Here is a 24,966-nt window from a genome sequence, read left to right on the forward strand (position 1 = left end):
CCTATGAGATGATATTATGGGTATAACCTACACATCCTTAAACTGAGGCCCAGAGAATTTAAGTGACTAGAGGCGGAGTCCGGATTGAAATCCTACACTCTTCCTTTCAGAATTTTAGGCTGAGTGCCAGAATCCAACTAGCCTTAGGTTAGTTATGTTTTCATCCCTTCTGGTTCGCCAGGCTCTCCTAGAAAGTGGGAAGTAGCAAAATAAGAAAAAATGATATAGGAGCCATCAGTAGATCCGCCACAGCTCAGGCTTGGGTCCAGGAGCTCAATAATTCAGGCCCAAAATCACAGATGAGGACTGAGGCCTGGTCGCACCTGTGGCCAGCAACAAATTAATGCAACCATTTCCTCTACGAACTACAGTTGCCAATACTCCCAAGCTGCCTAAACTATCAAGAAGGTATGTCCCGCATGGCTTCCTGCACTGCCTGTGTTTGCTTCTGAGCTAGAAAAATGATTTAGTCACTCCATATCTAGCCTTTTGTACAACATGTAGAGTACGGCCAAGGTCAACAATGCAGTGGACAAGGAACTGCCGTGAAAAAGACACCAGGTCTGGGGAGGAAGCGGGAGCTGACCCAAAGACACCAGTCTTGGGAGGAGTGGGCGCTGGCCTGTGCGGCCTCGGTGTCCTACCTGCTGCCCCCGAGCCCCTGGGCTGGGGAGGTCTTCATCGGGTTTGATCTTGGACCTCTTGTTGTGCATCGGGTCACCAGTGCTGCTCACTGCAGACTCACTCGTGGGCTTGTTCTGCTGGTCACATTTGCAGAGCCAGAGACAAAAAGATTTTCATCAACAAGGAGCAGTACCATAATTAAAACCTTGCCAACTCGGGACAAGCGGTCTTATTTGGCTATAAAGCAATGACTCTGATAATTCTCCAATCCCAGTGTAAGCAGAGTTCAGATAGTATGTTCAAAGCTAGAAAATACGTTCATGCGGCAGCTCTTCATTTTTAACTCGTGAGTATAAACTCCCTATGGCTTTTAAAAGCTAGAAGAATGGAGCTGAGGCCCTAGGCTTTAACAAGCTCCAACAGGGTATTTCAAAAGAACAAAGTTGTGAGGAGGGTAGAAGACCAACACGTTCCATTTGTGAAGTTCTTTAATTAGAGCAACCAGATTCTTCTCCAAACAATATCAAAGTGGCAACAGTTAACGCAGGGCAAAGCACAGTTTTAGTCTTACTCTAAAGTACCACCTGGTGGTAAGTCGCAACTGTGGTTCTAGCGGAGGGAGTGAACAGTGACCAAATGAGAGCAATGCATCCACATGCTGCACTGACATGGGATGCAGGTTACAGATGGCACCAGGTCACAGTGAAGCCTTATCAAGCAGCCTGCTGCTATGCCCATGGGAAAATGACCCTGGGGGAAAAAACTGTTTGATGAGAAGCATTTACACAACACGTCCACCAAAACTGAAGACTAGACCTCAGCATTAAGAAGACAGGATGCTAGTACAGAGGCTGTGAGAACACAGAGGTGCCGTGTTGATTAACAGCTGACGTGGTGGCCTGCCCCCACCCTCGGCTGACCAGCACGGCCGGGTGCATCGACCTGTCCCTCTCACCTGTGAGGACTCAGAAGGGCCGGAGCTGACCTGGACGGGGTTCAGAACCGTAGGGATCCCTGGAATAGGCCTCTGTGTTGGAAAAGTTGGGGCAGGGTGGATGAGTGGAGGGCTGTGTCCAAAGGCTGAACCTAAGCTCTGTTGTCGGCTTAGGATCTGCTGATGCATGTGGAGAGAGACGGGCGCGGAAGAGTAGGTGAAGCTCAAGGCAGGGCTGCACGGGGGAGATAAAAAAAGACGATCATCACTTAAACGCTGAGCTCAGACAAGTACACAAGATCTGCAGCTTTCTATCTATAATTTTACCATCCCAAATCAAATTTGTTTAAATGAGAAGGTAGGATTATTGCCAAGCATCTTGAAAACTTCTAAGAGAAAGATGAACACTGAGATGAGACACACATGTGTGTGCACACATACACGCAGACCTAAAACAAGATTCTGCAAAAACGGAAATAAAAGGCATCAGTTCAATAATAACTATTTATTGCAATAACAAACTTTATATAAAAAGAGAATGGGTGACTACATGCTTTATAGGACTTTTATTGGCTCTTAGTTCCGTATGTTCCTGTGCATGGAGCAATTCCTTTAATCTTAGCTCACACTGCACGCTTTCATATGTCTCCAGATCTTATTACAAGAGGAAAGAAAATCAATTGGTTAAATGTGTTTTGAACACCATGCTTGTCATATCACTCATTTGTTTGTAAAGATGGAAAGCTTGGTTCATCCAGAATGCCACCTAAAGAATTTCCATCAGTGCCGTCTGGTTACAGAAGCTGATGGATTAACCTCTCCCCGCTGAAATCAGTGATCAATGGGCTTCGATGGAGGAATATTCCAGTGGGAGAGCACTGCTCCCTCTTCTAGCTAAACAGCATTTAATGTCTATTAAAGCCCATTATGCATGCTAATGACTGTCACCACTTTATTATGCCACACTATTTCCCAGGCTACAGTAAGTCCTGAGGAAGCAGTGATAATACCTAAAGATTTCTCGACTAGCAGGCAATGCCAAATCATTCTTTGTGCCAGTGTGGTTCTGGAATCAAATCCTCTTAAAAGAATGGAGTGTTCTTAAGGAATTTGCCAATGGCTTAAAAATGCATGAAAAACTAATAATTGCATTCATGGAAATTTCTTTTTAAAAAAATAATCAGTGAAAAAAATATTTATATATATATATGTATGTATTTCTCCCTGTCCTGCTGTGTAATACCCAGAAAGAATCAGGGTTTCTTGTAATGTCAAAGTTAGAACTCATGCAAATTTCCAATCTGGTGGGTTAATTACTATGGCTATTAAGCGCATTAAAGGAGAATAAAATAATTACAATAGCAAAATTCAAACCATTTCAACAACTTTAAGTAATAATTCCAAAGATATACTCTGTTCATTAATGTGACTCTACATTTTGCCTATTTGACTACAATCCATAACAGGCAGCTTCAATGGGATTACATTACTATCATTCCTGCAGAGAACCTTACATTACAATAGCTTGCCCATTTAAGACTGAATATCATTAAGAATACCCTAGGAGAATTTCACCAGGCTTTGAGAAACTCTCCTTTCATTCTACATTGTATTTCCTTAATAAAGGAAAGCAGAAACGTGGTGAAAACAGTCATTGTTCACAGTAAGTTAGGGAGAAATCAGTAATAATATTCCGTTTCTGCAGCGTTATAGTTACTGCCAGTGTTTCCAAAAGCAAGCATGAATGATTATGGCAAGACTTAGCTAAGGTAGCTGTGTGGATGATTGATAGGGCATTAATCAAAAGATGCATATCTGCCTCAGAATTTGTTCACAAGCTTTCTTCTAATAGCTGATTTCATGTTCACTGAGCTCTATGCCAGTTTGTCCAATTTATTTTTCAGTGTACAAGCCATTCATCAAAAAACACAATGATTTAACAGCCCCCCTTCCTTTGGGTGAATGAGTATTACTAAGTGTAACTACGTTATTCTATTCATTAAATAAACAAAAACCAAAATAACCCACTTCACATATAATTACCATGGCACACCGACTTTGCATGTATCTCCAAACACCTTTCCAGGGTTCTAGGAGCCTAGACTATCTGGCAGAGTTGAAAGAGGGTCCCTGAAGGTCATTTATACTTCTAATTCTGGGAGACACGACATTTGGGGGCTTAAAAAATCAGTACTTAATTAAAAATAGAGACCATTCAGAAAACATGCCCTTGATTTTATACAAAAGCAACTCAAAAGCATTCACAGACGGATAAGGGAAGTGCATTTTAAAAAAGATGTAGGAGGCCGGGCGCGGTGGCTCACGCCTGTAATCCCAGCACTTTGGGAGGTTGAGGCGGGTGGGTCACCTGAGGTCAGGAGTTCGAGACAAGCCTGACCAACATGGCGAAACCTCGTTTCTACTAAAAATACAAAAATTAGCCAGGCGTGATGGCATGCACCTGTAATCCCAGCTGCTCGAGAGTCTGAGGCAGGAGAATCACTTGAACTGGAGAGGCGGAGGTTGCGGTGAGCCAAGATCGCGCCACTGCACTCCAGCCTGGGTGACAGAGCAAGACTCCGTCTCAAAAATAAATAATAATAATAATAATAATAATAATAAATAAAAATAAAGAAATAAAAAGATGTAGGAGATATCCTTACAAAAGATAAGACTCAGCATTCCCACCGCAGTTTCCTAGGTCTACGATCCTCCTTGTCCTCGGGGAGCAGGGGTAGGGGTTCTGAAAGCTCTTCACATACTTTGGCCATATCCCCATTCAGGGCCTCCACCTTTTTGCTGGTAAAACCAGGTGACGGGAATAAATGTTCTCTAAAATCCACATCAACAATTAGACTGCAAGGGCTATGAGGGAACACACAGTGGACGGTGATCCTGAGCCTTCAGTGCTTATTCATAAGAAGCCAGCAACAGAAACATTCTCCTCCTCCTCGTGCACAGACCTGGGCCAGGGCAGGGTATGGGACAGCTTGTCTGGACCCAGAAGGGCTGGCCCTCGACCTTCTGCTGCTGCTCCTGCCAGGGACTGTGCGCAGGAAGGCTGCTCCACTCCAGATGACAAAGCCAATTTAGAATTTGATGACAAAAGTAGAAAGTTCTCAGCTCTGACACAGTATCACTTAACAGATTTGGGAGTCAAGGCTCCTCTGCTCTCAGAACACTGCCATCAGAGTGCTGGGGCAGAGGACGGGCGATGACTGGGCACAGCAAACGGATGTCAAGAGTCGCAGACAAAATGCCCATGAGAAAGGATGCCTCCCACGCATACCCTCAACTCTCTTGGGCAAGATCAAGGTATGAAAAGATTCTCCTGAGGTTTTCCCACTAGGGGGATAAGAAAACCTGAGCCACCACAGCCTCCTCCTTTAAATCAAGGTGGGGAGGGCCGTGGAGGAGGGGAGTCCTGCATCCTTTTGCCTCCTGTCACAGCATGAGTCCCTCTGCATCTTCAGCACTCACAGTGTCCCCTGCCTGGAACCCTTGGCTTCCAGAGCTCACAATGGCCACTTCCTTTTTTACATTCACGTTCCAGCTTAAATGTCACCTCCTCAGAGGGGCCTTCTTAGACTCATGCCCCATCAAAACGAGGCCCCTCTGCACCTCCTTGCCCCATCGTTTTCTACTGCGTGACAATTCTATTCTCATGGCAGCACGCAGTACTCTCTAAAACTCTTTCTGTCTCTCTGTCTAGGAGGCAAGGTCCAGCTGGGCCGGGCAGTGTGCCTGGCAGAGCAGACACGCAGTACTGAGTCAATGAGTGACTGAATCCATTCTTCAGTGTCTATTAGTTCCCTGTTGCTGCTGCAACAAACAGCCCAAACTGAGTGGCTTAAAAAAACAGACACTGTTTATTACCTTACAGTTCTGGAAGTCAGAAGTCTGCAATAGGCCGGCGGGGCTGCATTATTCCAGACGGTCTAGGCTCCCTGCCTGTTCCATTACCTGGAGGCTGCCCACATTCCTTGGCTCAGGGGTCCACATCACTCAGGCCTCCTCCTCCTCCTCCTCTGACCCTAACTTGCCTCTCCTGCTTCCCTCTCACAGGGGACCCTGTGATTACATCACTGCCACCCGGATAATCGAGGATCATCTTCTCATCTCAAGATCCTTAGCTTAATCACACCTGCAAAAGTCGTTCTGGCATGGAAGGTAACCTATTCACAGGTCCTGGGGATTAGGATGTGGACATCTTTGGGGCCGTTATCCTGCCTACCACACTCAAAAGAGTCACCTCAAAGAAAACTATGTTTTCCTCTGAAAACTACAATTTGACAACATGTCTGTAAAGCAGTATTACACAAACGAAGCTAGTGTCTACATCCATTTCTTTCTGCAGCACTTCAATGGCACAGGACAGACTTTGCTGATTAAAGATATCAGAATTAAAAACAGAAGGTAAATTCTATTTTTAGGGGCCCTGAATAAGAACCTTCCTAAATAGTTCATGTATTCATTCCACAATTTCCTACAAATAGAAATTATTACTATTGTTGATTTGTTTTTTTTTTTTTTGTTTTTTTGTTTCTTGTTTTTTTTTTGAGATGGAGACTCGTTCTGTCTCCCAGGCTGGAGTGCAGTGGCACGATCTCAGCTCACTGAAACCTCCGCCTCCCAGGTTCAAGCGATTCTCCTGCCTCAGCCTCCCGAGCAGCTGGGATTACAGGCATGCACCACCATGCCCAGCTAATTTTTGTATTTTTAGTAGAGATGGGGTTTCACCATGTTGGCCAGGCTAGTCTTGAACTCCTGACCTCAAGTGATCCGGCCGCCTCGGCCTCCCAAGGTGCTGGGATTACAGGCATGAGCCACCACACCCAGGCATAGTTGAAATTGTTAATAATCTCTTATACCTTCTCTAGAGCAGGACATAATCTACAGTCTAAACCTTGGTACCTGTGCTTCCCATCCTCATAGCCTCCATGTTTCTGTTCACCCCACTCTTTCCAATGAGTCACCAGAAATTAATTTTACATTCTGATTCTGAATTCTCTGCATTCAACAATTAATCTGTTATTATTTCTAAAATTACTTTTATAGCTTTTGTTTCTAAATAACTATATGAAAGATGGGGTAATTTAAGACAATAACAACAAACATTTATAAAAATGTGACCTGTAACTGTTAATCTATATTTAGTCAATAAGATCAGTAGAAAGAAAGTGTTAGATGGCCCAGATCTTCCCAAGCAACGTGCTAACACAGTCAGAGGCCTCCTGAGGTGAGTAAGTGTAATGGAGAGAAAGAGAAAGAAGTACCAAGGTCATCAAACTCTTAGGAATACAGCCCAGGCCTGTTTCTCTGTGCATTCCTAATGTCCACCCCAGATACAGGTGGCAGCAGGATGTGGAGGAGCTTCCAGAGACCAGTGTTCCTCACAATACACTTTGAGAAACATTCTTCTAGGGCAACAATTATAAAGCCAGAATAAATTAATTTAAAAGTTAATTTGCCCTTTATTTTACTGAAGAGCAGACAAGGAGAAAAATGTGGTTGTTAGATAGCTTACTAACCAGAGCAGGTGTATGGTCACTGGATTGTTAGTTTGAAAGGGCATTCCACTGGATGCAGGGTCTAAATAAGGATAATTTCTCAGTCAGTTTCATCTCCATATTCAGCTCTGAGCTCAGTTAAAAGTGATTAACAAACCGTTGTCTGACTGGGAACCATTTTTTCTATTTTACGAAGACTTCAAAATAAAATTATCAAAGTCTGAATCTTTAAGAAAGTTCTGATGTAGATATACATCAGAAATCAGACATATAAAGTTTTGTCAATACTCTTAAAAAGTGTGATCAAAGTTTGCAAACTGGTTCTTGTTTCTTAGCATTACAGTAAACAGCACAGTAACACCTCACTTACATGGAAGTCTCCCTTCTGGGAATCTCAAAAACTATACCCAATAGGGCTAAACAGAGTACAGGTAAAAGGAAAACTGCTAAGCAACCAAAATAAATGTCCTAAAGTCTACACACTGCATCTCATTCATTAATTCAGCAAGTTTTAACTGAGTACTTTATACAAATCCCATTTATATTGCCAAAGAAAAAAAAAATTATTTGTAACCAGAAAGTTACATATAATTTATAATTAATACATTAAACCTGGAAATACATAATCATGTTTGGCTTTCACAATAAATATTTATTTTTTTCACACCAAGGAAGTGATGTAAGTCAACATTTGTACAGAAACCCTTGTGATCCATTCTGCTAATACAATTTATATTTATTCCCAAAATAATATATAAAATGGAAACACAGAGTTCATATTGTAGAAAATCAATCATTAAACATTTATTTACCCTACTATACATATAGGCACTTCAAAGTCATTAATATTCAAATCAAATGGATAAAACCCAATTAAAACAGTATATGAGAAAAGCCTATGTTTTTTAAATGCTTCAGGAATTCTATATAAGGCAGGAGGGTCAGAGCGCTGGGGATATACTGGATTCCTTAACAATGGTACTATAAATAAAGCAGCATAATATGGCTTGCTGTAGCCCTTTAAATTGGAATGGTAAGTAAGAGCTGATTACAATATTCAAGAAATTTGTTTTTATATAAAAATAAAGAAAACAATAGAGGAAAGTACGAAAAATGTCAAGAGGCCGTATCATCCAGCCACCACACACTTAAAGGTAAAAGCTACTATTTTATTGTTTGATGATTTCAATCCACAGGACATTCTTAACCCTTCCCTAACATAACAGCTTTTCCTAGAGTTGCCATGGAATATCTCACTCCCATGTAATCACAGTGCCAGGGTTTCTGCACCAGCACACGATATATGTGGGGAAAGGGCACAGGAGGATGTAGGAAGCTGAGCAGAAAGGAAGGCTCTTCAGTTTCCAGGTTCATCTCTGAAATCTCTCAATGACCCAGCGCGGTGTGCACAGAGCTGGGCAGGTAGGTGATGCATTAGAGAACTAAGCCACAGGCAAGCCCTGGCGTGAGTGGTAATCACACTCCATCACAAAGGCGCCAGCTCTCAGTCCAATGTGAAGAGTAATGAATATGTGGCACTTCTGGATTCTTGGGAAATGTCTTGTAAATGTAAAATCAACTCTGTCTACCCGCCACCTATAAAACACTTCTTCCAATTGCTTTGGTTGTTAAATTTCATTCAGGTTTGAATTTTTTCAACATCCTTAAAAGAAACTCATGTGATAGTATCAGGATGTATTCCTTTAGGTCAGGGCACTGGAATTAAGAAACTTCATGCTACAACAAACCTAGTTTACTACAGGCCGAAGAAGAATCCAATGAGTATCCCACCTCTCCTAATTCTTTTGCTCATGAAATCAAGATTGGAAGTAAAGTCAGGCAACAGGAACCACTGAGATGACATGGTACCAGAATGTGAGAAACTGACTTCAAGAAAAGAGAGGGGAGAGAGACACATTCAAAGCCAAGCCAAACTTCCTGGCTACTTTGTGACTGTTGCACTAAGAGGTCATCCTCACTCTGGTTACAGCTGTGGAATTCACTGCACAACAGCTGCCATCCAAAGAACCATTTTTTTTTTCCAGTTTTGCAGAGAATGGGCCAACAGCTATCATTACTTGTATATGTGTAGGGACACACATGCACACATGTGCTTCTATTTGAGAGGGAAAAAAATAAAGCTTCCACTTCCATCTATAAAAGTTTCCAGGGCAAGTTTATTGGAAACCCAGCCCAGCCTCAGAAGTAGAGTACACAAAGACCCACATGCTCTTAAGTATCTCAACATTTACATTTAGGCATATGCTCTCTGAATAATGCTTTGGAGAAAAATACATTAGGTTTTACATTATGAAACTGATCTAAAAAGCTAAAAAGCTACTTGCCATTAAGCAGCCAAATAGATATGACCTCAATGAACGTGAATGGCAATAACACACTCTTACATGAGATCTGGCTCATCAGGTATGTTAGATGTGGTTAGAAAAATCATGTTAATATATGCATAATCCGTTTCTTCAAAATATCATCAGGTATTATTATTTCTATTATAAATAGCATTTCCCGCCAATGCTTTTCACCATGCCTCTCATTTGAGGATTTCTAAGAGAGAAAGAAGTGTGTCTGGTGAACACTCAGAGTTCGACCCACCAGGTTGAATTTGTGGTTCTGCCATGTGAGTAACTGAGTGCCTTTGATTCAGTCTGCTAACCTCTCTTAACATCAGTTTCCTTATCTGTAAAATTAAACAGCCTTGTGGGGGGCCTCCAGGGAAGGCCCTTAGATTTCTGCTCTTCCAGATCTAAGGCCCCAGATCTTAGGCCCTTCCTATTGTCCTTAGATATGTGGTCCAAGATGCTGTGGTATAACTTGGACCCTGCCTGTGTCGCCAACCTTGTGCTTTGGCTAACCTGCCCCGTGTTTAACTGTCATCTGCTGACAGTTCCCCCAATGCCTTACTCCTCCCACCTCAGGGCCTTCACCTGCTTGGCCTCCTTCTTAGAAACTTGTAGAAAGCTTTCCAGGGTATCTTGTCATCATCCTATAAGTCAATGGCCAATCCGCTGAATTAGGCCCGTGGTGCTATTCTTTCTTAACATCTGGGTCATTTCCTTTACAGCACTGACCAGAACCCTTACCAGCTCCTTTGCTCCTTTGTTCATTCATTTGTTCCCTCACTAGCTCTTTTGCTCATTCATTCGTTTATTAATATGCTTAGAGGCTTTTCCCTTCTGTAAGTTCCATGAAGGTGGGGGTCGTGTCTCTCTCAGGCATTTGTGTAGCCCCCATTCCCCCAGTACAGCGACTAGCACAGAGTTAAGCTCAGCTAAATATTTGGGGAATTAATAACTGATTAAATGAAATACTATATAAAACTAACTACCACTTCAGGTAATATTAATTACTTTTAAGGAAGTAAATGAGAGCTATCTTTTTAAGGTAGTATTAACTACTTTACTGAAAATCGGGGAAGGGAATGTCATCTCCAAATTTTTAGAAGACAGAATGAGAATTTTAAAGACGTCGGTAATTTGGCACTGTATTTATCTGTTTGTCAGTATGTTTCTCAATTCATTTGTGTGTTATTTCTCTGACATAAGCAAGGTGTTTACTAAGCACAGAGCCAAGGAGCTATGGAGGCCGAGCTGACTTCCACCCTGCCTCAGGCAGCATCAGTGGACCTGCCAGATGCACCCTTACTCCAGGGTCCTAGTGTCAGACAGGGCTGATGATCCACGAAACAGAAAGCACAACTTGCCCTCTCATCATCAGGCTGAGCTCATCAGTGTTGGCAACAGAAAAACATTGCACTGTTTTGTGACGCTGGAGATCTTGGCACTCAGAGGGGTGATGTGCAAAATGGGAATGTCATTTTCACTGAGATCTCTTTCCTGGTCACACCAGAATTAAAACCACTAAGAATATAAAACCACTTTCATTGTAGCCATTAAATAGAAAGTGAGAAAGTGATACCCAGTGGGTTAGAAATGCGTAGAGTACTCATTTCTTCATCCCATTTACATTTGCCGGAAGACTACAGAAGAAGGGGGTCATTTTAAACACCTTCTCTTCCAGTGGTGGCCCAATTTCCTAGAGAGAAGGGTTTTAGCAAAGGTACACTATTTTAACCTACTGTGATTCACTGGCTATTTACAACGTTAGCCTTAACTATGTAGAGTGGGGGTTACTGGCTGTATTTGATAAATATAAATTATCTAGTCTTAGATGGGGAGTCTTCCAGGTGATGGAGAAGCCACAACTTCTTGAAACATGCAATATTTTATAACATACTTTCCAATGTGCATGGAGTTATTTTTGAAAGCTATTTAATTATGAGATTTTAAAAGACTTGTCAGGTACGTCTAGACAATGCATTTTAAAAAATCTGACATAATCAAGTACTGTTATAATATGTCAATGGGCTTTTGTGAATAAATATTAGTTTTATATGGTATTTTTATAGTAGTCTGGATTATTAAGTAAATATATAAACAAAAGAACCACACACAAACTTAAAATAGACATTTGCTTTTTTAATCCTTTATTTTCTATTCACCCCTCTGGCTCTGTATCTATCAATCTCTGGCCATGTAATAATATAACACTCATACAGATTGCAACTTTCAGAAAGCCAGAATTATTCATCCACCATGTAGAAACTTACTTTAATAAGGGGATGATGAGAATTCTAATTACTCATGAGAGAGCTCCTTAATTTATTTACTCAAGAAATATTTACTGAATGGCATCAATATGAGAGAATGCAGGTGTCACAGGGGTTGAAACAAGAGGTACACAGTGATTGGCTTTTTGGTGCTTGTGTTCTATTGGAGAGAAATGGATAGCAGACTACTAAAGGAGAAAGAAAATATGGAAACGTCAAATAGTGGTAAATGCTATTACAGGCGTCTTTAACCACATTTGCACTAGGGCATAGATGTGAAGGAGACAGCTATGGCATTTCTTAGAAACTGAATGAGTATCTTTAAACATTTAATGACATGTTTAGAAATGTAAACATCATTACTGATGCACTGCCAATACCAACAGCAAATTAGGTATTAGAAAACATGTAAGTGTGAAAGTCAAGTGTGTTTAGAGTAAATTAACAAGCAGGAAACTGGAGTGCTAGTGCTGATGCCCACCAGGCACGGAACTTTGCTAACTTCATCTTGCAAAGACCCACTGGGCTTATGTGTAAAACAAGAATAAGGCCAGGTGTGGTGGCTCACACCTGTAATCTTAACACTTTGGGATGCCAAGGCGGGTGGGTTGCCTGAGTTCAGGAGTTCGAGACCAGGCTGGCCAACATGGTGAAACCCAGTCTCTACTAAAAATACAAAAATTAGCTGGGCACAGTGGTGGGCCACTATAATCCCAGCTATCGGGAGGCTGAGGCAGAAGAATCGCTTGAACCTGGCAGGCAGAGGTTACAGTGAGCCGAGATCGTGCCACTTCACTCCAGCCTGGGCAAAAGAGTGAAACTCTGTCTCAAAAAAAAATAATAATAATAATAACACCACTTGCTTTGCCAAATAGCTGTGACGTGAGAACGGTGAGTGAGCATGAGCCGTGCACCTGCCCTGTTAGTCAGCATGTCGCAGAGGCTAAACGCACCTGAAGTCGACTTTCTCTCCTGTACCTTTCGCTGTTGAGAAAGTTAGTTACCTTTTCTAGATGTCTCCTTGCTTCTTTCCTTTCCCAGATCCTCTGGTGCTACCACTAACTGATTATTCCTGAAGTCAGTTTTTAGATCTCAGAAAATGAAACTTACAGCAGGAGTAAGCAAGGCACTAGCACTCCTCCAGCTAAAGAACTGGCAAGTGGTGCCAATGATAACAATTATTATCATCATTATATGGGAAGCTGATCTCATCTTGGGTTATCTGCATTACCTGCTCTGTGTAAGAATAGACATATAGTCCTAAAATACAGCAAATGTGTACTAAAGAAGGAGAGATTGCACTGAGAGAGAAAAGATGCAATCGAAAGTCTCAAAGGCAAGAAAGAAAATGAGGACACAATGGGCCCAGGCACCCAACTGTCACAGCCTCCAAGGACCTGACTGGTCTTTAAGTGAATCTCTTCTTCCATCTCTAATGATATAAAGAGTTGTGGTATAGCTCCTTGGAGACGAAATGGGCAATGATGATTTCAAGTCAGCAGATTGACAGTCTGTTAAGTACTGTCACTAGCTTACCTGGGTGAAGATGAGGAGACCAGGAGACCGTAAGGACTAAGGAGGCTGGGGTAGGAATAAATAAAGATAGCATCATGACCATTTCTATACCATATTCTAATCTATGTCCTTTAGATGCTGTAAAAAGTCAAGAGACCTGGGCAGAGAGCAAGAGGAAAGAAAAAGTAAAGAGAAACAAGAGAAGTGAATGTTCATGAAGTGATTTTGTGTGTTATCTTTCTGACTATCACTGTGTGCCACATTTCTGCTACTTGGATGCTATGACTTTAGTCATGCCATGTAATAATTGCACAATTGCAGTAAAGTCGCCTCCAGTCCATGTCAGTCTATGACCCAGGAATATTCGCCAGGAGTGCAGGAGCAGCCAGGCCAGGGTTCTGAGACTGGCATGCTTCCTCGGGGCCAGACTGGGATGGAGAGCAGTGTAGCATAGACAGCCATCACAGGATGGCTCCTCTCCTGGATGAACCATCCCAGCTCAGCTCCCCCTGAAACTTCACCCCAGGTAGGAATCTCATCCTGCCATTGCAGATCCACACCAGCTTTAGTAAAATGTGCATTCTTCCTGTATAGAGGGTGTCTTATCTGTAGTTTACAGATGTGAAGACTAAACTTCAAAGAGCTGAGAGGTAAGTTAGGTTTGTATAGCTGGTTGGTGGCAAAGCTGGAATCTGACCATAGACATATCCAACTCTAAAGCCTATATTTGTAACTACAGTGGTTAATCTGGAAAGTGCCCCAGGACCCCTCCCTGTGCACTGACTGCTATCACAGTTGCTTGCAGCTATCCACGTTTCCACACTTCAGTGACCATATGAAAAGAACAAAGAAAAGCAGCGGAAAATGACATCATATTAAAATTAGGATTTACCACATTTAAATATTAACTTGCCTACTGAAGAACATTGCTGATAATTGAACAAGAATTAAAACTGTAATGGAGAACATTAGGGAAAGACAACAGTATTCATTATTTTTACTAAATGTGGGTATCTTGCTACTGCAAACACTTTTTTTTCTGAACTGATGAAGTTTCCCTAATTGTAATCTACCATGGAAGACCTATCAATGAACAACTAACGCTACCGCTCATTCATAGAAACAAACAAAACCTCACTTATTAAAACAAAGGCTAGTGAAAACATCCGTTAGTATGTACTTTTCAAGCAAGGAATTATTCACAATTAACAAAACTACAATTCAAAAAGATTGCTAGTAACTGAATTCTTAAATTATTGGCAAAAAATTTAGGGGAAATGAGAGTTTAAAGTTTATAACCAGGATTGCTAAATTAATTAATTAGAGTACTATCTAATTCTATGTCTCAACCATTTGTGAGCTGGCTTAGTTCAAACAATAAATGATCAGGTAATTCACCTAAAATTCATATGTTGGCTTACTTTTATTCCCTACTTACTGACATCAGTCCAAGTTGATCATTAGCAGTAAGAAATATTTTATGTTAATCATGTTTACAAAAGTCTGTGCTTGTACCTTCACATGCAAAAACAGACATGAGGTGCTTCATGGAAGGAAGTGTCAAAACACTTTCTGTCAAGCAAGGAACTATCCACGGTTAACAAAGGTGTATGGTCAAAATAGGGATCTTTCAGATTAAGCTAAAAATACTTAATGGAAAAACAAAGAAATATTCTTTTGCCAGATTTCCTCTGATATCTATGCTTTCCAATGTCATCTGCACTTATTTTCCATCAGACGAAAAGTCCTGCTGTTTCTCTCTCCCTCCCATGGACTCCTTTCTCTTCAGAGTTGTAGGACAAGACTTCTGCCATGACTGGTCTTTTTATTTTTGTTCATGTTCTGTACATGTGTCATACAACCAGGTATGAAGTCAGTTTTCCTCTAGAGAACATTATTACAAGGAAAAGGCTGGATAAAAAGATTTGCCCTACTTACTGTCTCTACGAAGTGGATTTCATCATAACTCAATAACTGCTATTTCTATATAGGGGCTATTGACTAATGTCTGCAAACACAAAATAATCTGGGGCCCAATAACTGGTTTTGCAATTCATTGTGATATTTGACCTGCCTCTTGGTATAGGCACAGCATCATGCACTTTTATTCTTCCTCATAGGCAGTTGGTACTGAAAATGCATCACTACAGGTGCAAACAAGTGCTGACATTACATTTAAAAAACACATAATGGATTCAGGAAAATACATACCTGATTGCACTTGCAGATAAGTGACCATAGGAGCCACTTGCTGAAGAGCTGCTACGGGAATTATTGAGAATCGTGACCAAGGAGTTGGGAGACGTCCTTATCATGGTCTGAAGGTCAAAGCTATGATCGGAGAGTGGTGATATGGACAGTGTACGTTTTCGGCTCGGCCTGGCTGACAGCCTGGGGCTGGAGAATCTGGTGCCTGTTATATAAACAAAAAAGAACCTAATTACCTGCAGTTGGACTCTATACCAGCTATTTATTGCTACTTGCCTACGTGGAAGAAGTGAAGGATAAGAAGCTGGCAACTTGCGGTGACAAGCACCTCTCCTCCCCCATGTGATCTACTAGCTACAGTTGAGGAAACTAGGGAGAAATATTTGTCTTCCAGGGGCTTACCTCGGGGGAGCTCTGTTTATTAATGTGCAGGGAAAATGATAAATTGCTAAACAAAAGGGAGAGATTTTTATGTGTTATCCCTTTCATTTCTGGTGATTTATGAATCTGACGGCTGCTTAGATATTCCCATCATTAATTCACCACAAGCGACAAAGACAGTGGTTCCCACAATGGCAACATACCACCCTCCCCACCCCAACACACACCATTTTAAGTCATGAGCCAAAGGAAGGAAATGAATTAAAGTATCCTAAGATTAAAAATTCAGCTCAGTTATGCCCTCAGTGCCCAGTGATTTCTAGAGTTACCTGCTCTATGGTATACTTAAAGCATTACTAAAACAACTTCTACATAATTACCCTGAATCAGTGCTTCTCAACTGAGAGCAATTTTGCCCCCCAAGGGACACCTGACAACATCTGAAGACATTCTGGTTTTCGGGACTCAGCAGATGCTACTGGAATCTAGAGGGTAGAGTCTAAGAATGCTGCAGAACACCCTATAATGTTCAGGGTCACCCTCCCCACAATAAAGAATTATCTGGCCCAAATGTCACCGAGGTTGAGGACCTCTGCCTTACATTCCCCATATAAGAGGATAAATCCCAAGAAACATTTAAAAGGTGGGGATGTTGCTTGTTTACAGATTTTCCAAGGCAGAGGAGAAACCCTTACGAGCATGATAACGAGGTACAATGAACCTATAGGGCATTTTAGCTCTTCTCTGGACCTTGTTTCTCTAGTCAGACCCAATAAGGGGTAATAAATTTATTAGAATTTTTAACCTTCAAGAAGATTCCACTGATGGAGTCTTAACCTGGAGTCCAAATCCGGAGGTGAGTAACTCAAACTTAAATGCATGCCAACTTAATACAATGGTTTCTTCCTGAAGAGTTCAAAATTAAATGCCAATTTGCATTCAAATTTGGTAGATATTAGAGATGTGAGCTTCAAGACACAGAGATGAATGTGGCCCACAGGTCCATTCTGCCTTTTTGAAGGTCATATTTACATTACAGAGTCATCAAACTAAAGTTTAATGAACGAATGAGAACATAATCTCACCACGTAGGAGGCAAACAAAACATGATTAGTTTTAAGTAAAATGAAGAGTTTCTAACACCTCATAGAATGAGTATACCAGTTTATAGGAAAATGGCAATTTTGCGGTACCCAGAACAACTGAAGTAGCAGGTAATCTTTCTTTATTTAAAAAAAAATGTCCAGGCTCTTGGTCTCCAGAAAATTCTTTGGGAATATTTTATTCAATAAAGATGGTTCTTGATACAAGATAACAATCCAACATGCTTAGAGATCATTTAATTAAATGGGATAGATAAATATGAATGACTTCATTGTCAATACTATAGAAATAATGAAAAAAAATCCACAAACTGAAATTTACTAAGTTAGTGCCATCCACGTATAAAACTTAAAAACCAACTTGAATGATAAATGTGGTACCTACTCAAATTTTTCTTTCAGGCACAACTAAAACGAGTTCCTTCATTTAGAATAGTTTCATTACCAGCCTGATTTAGAGCATGTTAGCACAAAATAGCAATCCCAACGATTTCCTTTTTTTTTTTTTTTTTTTGAGATGTGGTCTTGCTCTGTTGCCAGGCTGGAGTGCAGTGGCACGATCTCGGCTCACTGCAACTCTGTCTCCCGAGTTCAAGCGATTCTTCTGCCTTAGCCTCCCGAGTAGCTGGGACTACAGACACACACCACCACGCCCGGATAATTTTTTTTTATTTTTAGCAGAGACGGGGGTTTCACTGTGTTGGCCAGGATGGTCTCGATCTCTTGACCTTGTGATCCGCCAGTCTCGGCCTCCCAAAGTGCTGGGATTACAGGGGTGAGCCACTGCGCCCACCTGTGCATATTTTTAAGGCATTTAAATCAGCATCTTACTTTTATAATGGCATCTGCCTTATTAAACACAACTCCTTCACATTTACTCACCATGAGAGGCTAATTTCATCATGGAAGTTTTTCAATGAGGAAATACATGTCACTTCCAAGTGACAAACCAGATTTGTTATCAACTTCCATATAATCCTGGACAATAATTGCCCTTCTCAATGGTACTCAGTGATCACTGGCAAAGTTAGAAGTGACAGCACATGCTAGACAGGACGTGGATATATCCCTAGAAAATCTCTAATGTTTTAGATCACTAATTGTGATGCAAAAGGAAGAAGCCCATTTGATGCTCTCAAACCCTAGGAGCCTTAGATCACTCTCACATCCTCCAAAGAGGGTGAGGGGCCTCTCAAGACCTTTTCACCCTTTCCATGAAACCCTTTGGCTTGCTCATAGCCTGGCTGGAACCTTTCCTCTCTGTGTTTTTCCCTCCAAGACTGGCTCTTATTTAAGTCTATTTCCACCAATATAAATAGTGGTCTTCAGGGGCCCTCATCTCTAGAATGTTCCTTATAGGGAGTATTTGTTCTCATCTTTTAAGGTCACTCCAACACTGAGAGGTAGAATTGGGACCATAAACAGACTAGTTTATCCTAACAAGCTACATATAAACACTCTGTCCTACATCTTGCTGAAACCTAGACGTGCCCACTATTTAAAAGTCAGGTGCTTACCTGAACCCAGTTTATTGAGGGTTGTGTTAATTAAGAAGTCCTAAATATCTGTAACAAGGGATGAAGAGTGACCAGATAGATCCCAGGTTTCGATCTACCACTGCAGATGGACAACCACTATAAAAATTTAGGATTAATGTTTCGCTTCTTTGTTGGAAAAAATCTCCTATGGTGGAAATTTCTGGGCAATCTTCTTATATTCTAACTAAATAACTATTAATAAATGCTACTTCAATTACTTTAGAGGAAAAGAATATAGTGCCTTAAGAACTTTCCAGCCCTTTAATATGTTCTTCCCAACTCCTTAATAAACAAGCAAAAGAAGAGAAAGTCAGCATTTGGGGACAGTGATTTGGGATACTCTGTTGAAGGGAGCTGCTAAAATACAAGGTAAGCATTTTCAGAACAGCCAAAAGAGAAGTAGCCCAGTTCTTCACTGATCATACCACTTCCTTCTTAAATATAAGCCAGAGAATTCTTATTGTTCTAACACAGATATCTCCGATCTGGCTTTCTGTTAATTATTTTGTTTCCCTATTCTAATAAGAAATTCTGACAAAGAAAAAAGAGGTTTATTTTTATGTGATGAATGATAGGACATCTAAATTCCTACTTAATGACAATCAATTTACCATATACTCAGGCAAATTAAAATTCCTTTAATTAGTTTTTACAAAGTAAAAGGGTAGCTTCATCCTTTATTTAGATAAAAACCGCCACTGCCTGACTAAACACATTCTCATCAAATAGGGAAAGTAATGCGGGCTGACCTTCCAAGGATTCTCTCTTATTTTAATTCTTTATTTGCAGATTTTAAATAACTGATTTGCATAATAACACAACTTTTTTTTCAACAATCGCTAATTGAAATGTGGTTATGATGAATCTGAAATGTAAGCTCTCTATGCTAAAAAGCCAAACAACAGAACGCCTGAAGAAGACGTAACACATTTCTTTTACTTTCCATGTAGTAATGAGCTTCCCAGTGGAAACCAACAGAATCTTGTGTTCCAATGAAACACACAAAGGTAGCTCTTGATGGTAAGCAGACTAAGGCTGTAGAGTTTTTACCCCTGTATGAAATAATCACCTTCTTTCTAGTCCGAGACTCAGGACTAAATAACTAGAGGACATATGCTCGCCCTCTGTCACAGAAGAATCCAAATAGATTGTAAATGGAAAAGTGTAAGTTAATTGCTGCTACTAGGAAAAACAAACAAAACGCTAAGCAAAGGCCCTACTCAAAGTCATACTGTTGTCCTATTCAAAGGTAGTGGCTTTTGCTGATGTATGACTTGGATGATGCTTTAGGATCACTTCAGAGCGCCTTGCAAACGGATGTGTCCTTAAAGGATCTGAAGAGATGAGCGCTCTGGAATGCTCTGATGAGAGGTAATTATAGGCTTACTTGTCTATGCGTCTACATAAGTGACCCACAAAAATCATTACACACCTAAGGGACCCCAAAATAAGTGATACAACATGCATCAAGTAATCTCACCTTATTCCACTGCTAGGTACTAAAAGTAGTCCCTTCTGATTTGGAAAAAGTTTTTATTTTTTCCAAATAAGCTATTTGGCAACTATTGATAACTTGATAACTATTCTGATCCTTTCATATATTCAGCAGCTACAAACTGTCTTAGTGGAATACAATTTTTTTAATGTAAAGAAAACATATGGGGCAAACAATCATTTAAGGCAAAAATGTAAAACCTGTTAAAACAGGTATTTTTTAAAATTAATTTTTAAAGCATAAAATCCATGAAACCAAGGAGTGGGGAGGCAAAGTCCATCCATATATCAAATCCATTCCCCCTTATTTTGTTATCAAGACAATCACGACAGGAAAAAATTTTTTTGGTTTGGGGAGACAGGGTCTCACTCTGTCACCCAGGCTGGAGTGCAGTGGCGTGACCAAGACTCACTGCAACACCGACCTCCTGGGCTCAAGTGATCCTTCAGCCTCAGCCTCCTGAGTAGCAGGGACTACAGGTACATGCCACTACACCCAGCTAATTTTTAATTTTTTGTAGAGATAGATCTCGCTATGTCACCTGGGCTGGGATTTTTTTTAACCAGCTAATATTTATATATCGCTGTCAATTACAATTGCCTGCATCTGTCAGTTCACTGGTATCCTTGAGCTAAACAGGGGGTCTCAGGATGTCCAAATCTGTGGAAGCTTCTAGAAAACGAAGGGAACCAGAGCACCAGATAGTGGTGGTTCCACTTTCTCCTCCAGATCAAAAAGTTACACAATCACCTAATCTTTGTATCTTCTTCTCTGTTTCATAAAGTTGCCTTTGCCATTTCCCAAGACTCTAGAAACCAGCCCCGTCACTTACTATCCATAGCATGAAGATATTCCATGTGGATGGCCCCCGTGCCGGCGGTGGCAGCTGAGGGAATAATGTCTGCATAGGGGCTGCGCTGGCCAGTTAGCAGGGCCATCTGATGATAGTATTCTGCTGGGCTGACTCCTGCATGGGGCGCTAGGAGGAGACAAGAGATGTATGGTTACTAGCGAAAGAAGGTCAACTAGAAGTTTCTCTTGAGGCATCTCAGAGTCCATTACACAACCCACATCAGCAATTCCTTTTATGGCTTATTAGAGTAAAGCTCCTTTAACTCAAATTGTGCTCTTACTTCCATGAAACATCTTTTATTTGAAAATAAAACTGAAGGAAAGGAATAGAAAAAAGTGAAATGCATTACTAAGTTTTTGTTGTTGGTCTAAGAAATTATCAACAAATCAGAATGATTAAAATGTATATATGTACATAACCACATTTGCCCCCCAAATAAAATCATTTTTATATCAAATCACTGTATGTTTGCATTTCTTACAATAGTAGACAACTTAGAAGACTATGATATCTTTCCAGACATACTTAAAATACTTTTCTAAGCTTTCTGACAAGAGTGTCTGAGTTAACTCTCACTCACATGAAAAGTCAGGGTTTACCAGTATGAAAAAAGGCAGCACAGCTTTAATAACACAACTGAATGATAAGCTACAATTTTACATTCCATAATTTAAAAGCTCTCTTTTCCTTTTCTTCATTACAAAATCAAAAAGAAAATATACCTATCAATCTGGAGCAATTTACTGCCAAGACTCAGCTTTCTAACAGGATAATAGTCGGTTTCCACCTGCCAATTTTCGTGCAAAAGCAGCAAGACATTGTAGCAGTTCTGAGGGTGGCCTCCAGACTCATAGAGATCTGGATTTAAACTGGCTCCATGAGGTCGTCAGGAGCAAAAATTAAATTATGTATGTAGCACACTTAGCACATAGCATTCAATCAATAAAAGTTTTACGATTATTATCTAGAAATACCAGCACTCTAGTGATAGGTTTGTGGGTATTTTATATTTGTTTCATATACTTTTTATCCATGATACATGGTAAAGATAGAGATTTAAGGAAAAAAACTTTAGGCCACAAGGGAAATATTTATCATGTTACTTTATTTGATTATATTAACTGGATTCTTGAGAGGCAAGAAAAGGAAGGCAAATGAACCAGTCAAAGAATGTGATATATATACTCGTCATCAAATGCTACACAAAGCAGATGATAAGAGTGCTTTCAGTAGTTTAACTCGTGGTATGACTTTCCACTAGCCCGAATAAATTTCTGCAGGCCAGGCATAATTCCAAGTCCATTGTCAGCTAGCCTCCCTCTCTCCCTCAGTCTATTCTCCTTGTTAGTCATTTCCACCAACTCCCAAGGACTTGAAGGAGATGATTCTCCAGTTCTTCAAGTGCAAAATAAAATCTGAAGCAGAAAATCTAATTCATATTTGATTTTTATTTTTAAAATGTGAATCTTGGCCAGGCACAGTGGCTCATGCCTGTAATCCCAGCACTTTGGGAGGTAGAGGTGGGTAGATCGCTTGAGCTCAGGAGTTTGAGACCAGCATGGGCAACATGGCGAAACGCTGTCTCTACAAAAAATATAAAAATTAGCTAGGCGTGGTGGTGCACACCAGTGGTCCCAGCTACTTAGGGGGCTGAGACAGGAAGATGACTTGAACCCAGCAGGTCTGGGGTACAGTGAGCTGAGATTGCACCAAGGCACTCCAGCCTGGGGAACAAAGTGAGACCCTTTCTCAAAATAAAATAAAATGTTAATCCTGCCCAAAGGGCAAAACTTATTCTTTAGCTACCTGTATTACTATTATTAACCAGTAAATTCAATGCACTGAATCAAAAAAGAAAAAAGTGGCTGTTACTGAAGGAAAGCTATTTCTGAAAACCCAAGTGAGTGGATGTTTCCTGAGACACTTCATGCAGCTTCTCACCATGCACACCCAGCCTCAGGAAGGCGTCTACCTAGAGAATGTGGATAGGGCATGGAAGTCGCATCAAGCACTGCTCAGTGAAATGAAATGCCTGGTGTTTCTCTGATGTGGAACAGGCAGTGGTGATTTGCGATCTCTTGCAAAGAATTCAGAGCCTGCTACCTGTAATTAATAGGTGATGCAATTCTGGACCTTGATTCAGATTCCAGTGATTATTGGGCAAGTGAATTCCTATGTGTGCGTGATATGGAAAATACTTTTCCTGAATCAAAGGACCAGTTTATAAGTTGACACCAGGAGAATACACAGCTCCAATTAAGAAGAGTCATGTGGAAAGTAATGGGGGGACTAACAGAACCAACAGGAATTCGATCCTTAAGAGCCTAAAATGAGCAACAAGTATAAGAAAGTCTAAGCTCATTTCCTTTCCCAGTACATACTTCTTCGGATTTTCATGTGGCATGGTCAAGAATAGAAAGCACAGGCAACAGCCCTGGACCATGATGTTTTCTAAGACCTTGCCACTCAGAGTGTGGTCCAGGCACCAACAGCACTGACATCATCGGCTTTTGAGGAGCACAGAATCTCAGGCCCCACCTGATCCCACCTGATGCAGAATCACGTTTTATCAGGCTCCCCAGGTGATTCATAGACACACTAGAGTTTGGGAAGCCCTCCTCTAACAGACGCATCTGTATAAATGTGCTCAGACACACAGAACAGAAAAGTGTTCATCAGAAGGTGAGTAAAACACTCATGTTACACATGCACGTGTGTGAATGGCTACAGGACCAGTCTAATCATATGTGAAGCAGCAGAACAGAACCCTAGTTACCAGCAGGGATTTGGGAATCAGAAACATTTTCAATGAATTCCACCTCTGCCCCTTACTAGCCATGGGATTGACTGCGTTGCAAGTAAACCCCACTGCACGCTGCTATTCTGACATGAAAATGGAGATAATAACACCACTGCCAATGAGGTGTTACAAAACTGAAACGCAATCATGCATGTAAGGCACAGAGCACAGCGCCTGGCACATGGGAAACACTCACTAAACATCAGGTCTACTTTATACACGTCCCGAGTGAGGAGCGGGGAGGAGGCTGCATGATCTCCAGAAGCAGAATCCATCCTGGACTTACCATCTGTAGGGCTCAGCCCACGGGTTGCTGAGATCATGGAGAGCGATGGGCTGCTGTGCAAGGAGCGGATATAGTCCATGTAGGGATTAATGTAGGGATGTGGAGGGCTGAAGGGAGACTCGGAAGCAGCAGTGGGGTTCCGGTGTGGGGAGATCCTAATGAAGGGCAGGTCCGGATACGTAGGGCTACTAGATAAGGCGGAAGTCCTGGGTACAAAGAAAACCAGATACAAGGGGTATGCATGAGACAAATATCTCCACAGGCAGAGGCTGTCTCTGAAAGAAAATAAGTAAGATTTTAAGTGAATTCAAAGGAGCCTTGTGGAAAAAACTGCAGGCAAATACATATTAGTACTATTATTTTAAAATCAGCATGATATAATGCAGGCAGAGCATCGCTATGCAATTGTTTGGGAAAATAAATTGATCTCTGAGAAACTTCATTGCACTCCAAAATAGTAAAATAAAGGTCAACCTATGGCTTCTTCCATGAGAAGAAATTCTAAATAACAGGCAACTGGGCTTAAAGTGGTTGCTACAATTGTATTTTCCACTTGACCCAAATATTAATGTTACCATTTAAAACTTACCTCTTACTAGCATGGTGTTGCATAAAAATAAGAAAGAAAAGAAAAGAAAAAAGAAAGGGAAAGAAAAGAACAGAACAGAACAGAATGAAAGAATACAATCCCAAATTTGTCTGGTCTGGAAGCCTGATCATGCACATGGCAGAGCTGTCCGTAAGGAAGAAGACCCATTGCAAAAGTCTGCTTAGAAATGGGAAATCGGTCACTCTAAAGATCCAGGCACATGTCTGTTTAACTTCCCAGGGCCTCGCAGTGGTAAGTAAAATGACTTTTATGGATCCAGGTGTGAGTGCTTGGAAGGCAACTCCTCCCCTTTGTGCAGCAGCACCTGGAATCAGCTTTCTGCTCAAGCCCTTTTCCATGAGGCATCCCGATGAGCCACGTTCAGTGAGCAGTAGCAACTAAGTGCTCCCGGGTTAGAAAGTTGGGGAAGAATGCATTTTCAATCAAGCCCTTGCGTCGGTTATAATGAGCTAAGGTAGAATGTAGGCTTTTGGTTAATAAAAATA

At 41.0% G+C, this 24,966-nt stretch overlaps 1 protein-coding gene across 8 annotated transcripts in view, besides 1 other annotated feature; it reads right to left on the minus strand.

Annotated features, from left to right (window-relative positions):
- Positions 1-24,966, minus strand: part of GLI3 (GLI family zinc finger 3) — a 303,320-nt gene that overhangs the window by 63,671 nt on the left and 214,683 nt on the right. For all 8 annotated transcript variants that reach the window (XM_047420208.1, XM_047420207.1, XM_047420205.1 and 5 more), the window contains 5 exons: positions 23,872-24,077; positions 20,765-20,911; positions 15,419-15,620; positions 1,580-1,793; positions 645-758 (listed from right to left, as the gene is read on the minus strand). In XM_047420208.1, coding sequence (XP_047276164.1) covers positions 645-758; positions 1,580-1,793; positions 15,419-15,620; positions 20,765-20,911; positions 23,872-24,077 — 883 coding nt within the window. The remainder of the gene's footprint in view (positions 1-644; positions 759-1,579; positions 1,794-15,418; positions 15,621-20,764; positions 20,912-23,871; positions 24,078-24,966) is intronic.
- Positions 4,579-5,079: an enhancer, noted in NCBI's record as "H3K4me1 hESC enhancer chr7:42068797-42069297 (GRCh37/hg19 assembly coordinates)". NCBI's record gives its function as "activates a minimal SCP1, AML or CMV promoter by ChIP-STARR-seq in primed H9 embryonic stem cells {active_cell/tissue: H9 hESC(primed)}" and the evidence as "EXISTENCE:reporter gene assay evidence [ECO:0000049][PMID:30033119]".

The sequence above is a fragment of the Homo sapiens genome, chromosome 7 (genome assembly GCF_000001405.40).
Source record: "Homo sapiens chromosome 7, GRCh38.p14 Primary Assembly".
Lineage (NCBI taxonomy): Eukaryota > Metazoa > Chordata > Mammalia > Primates > Hominidae > Homo > Homo sapiens.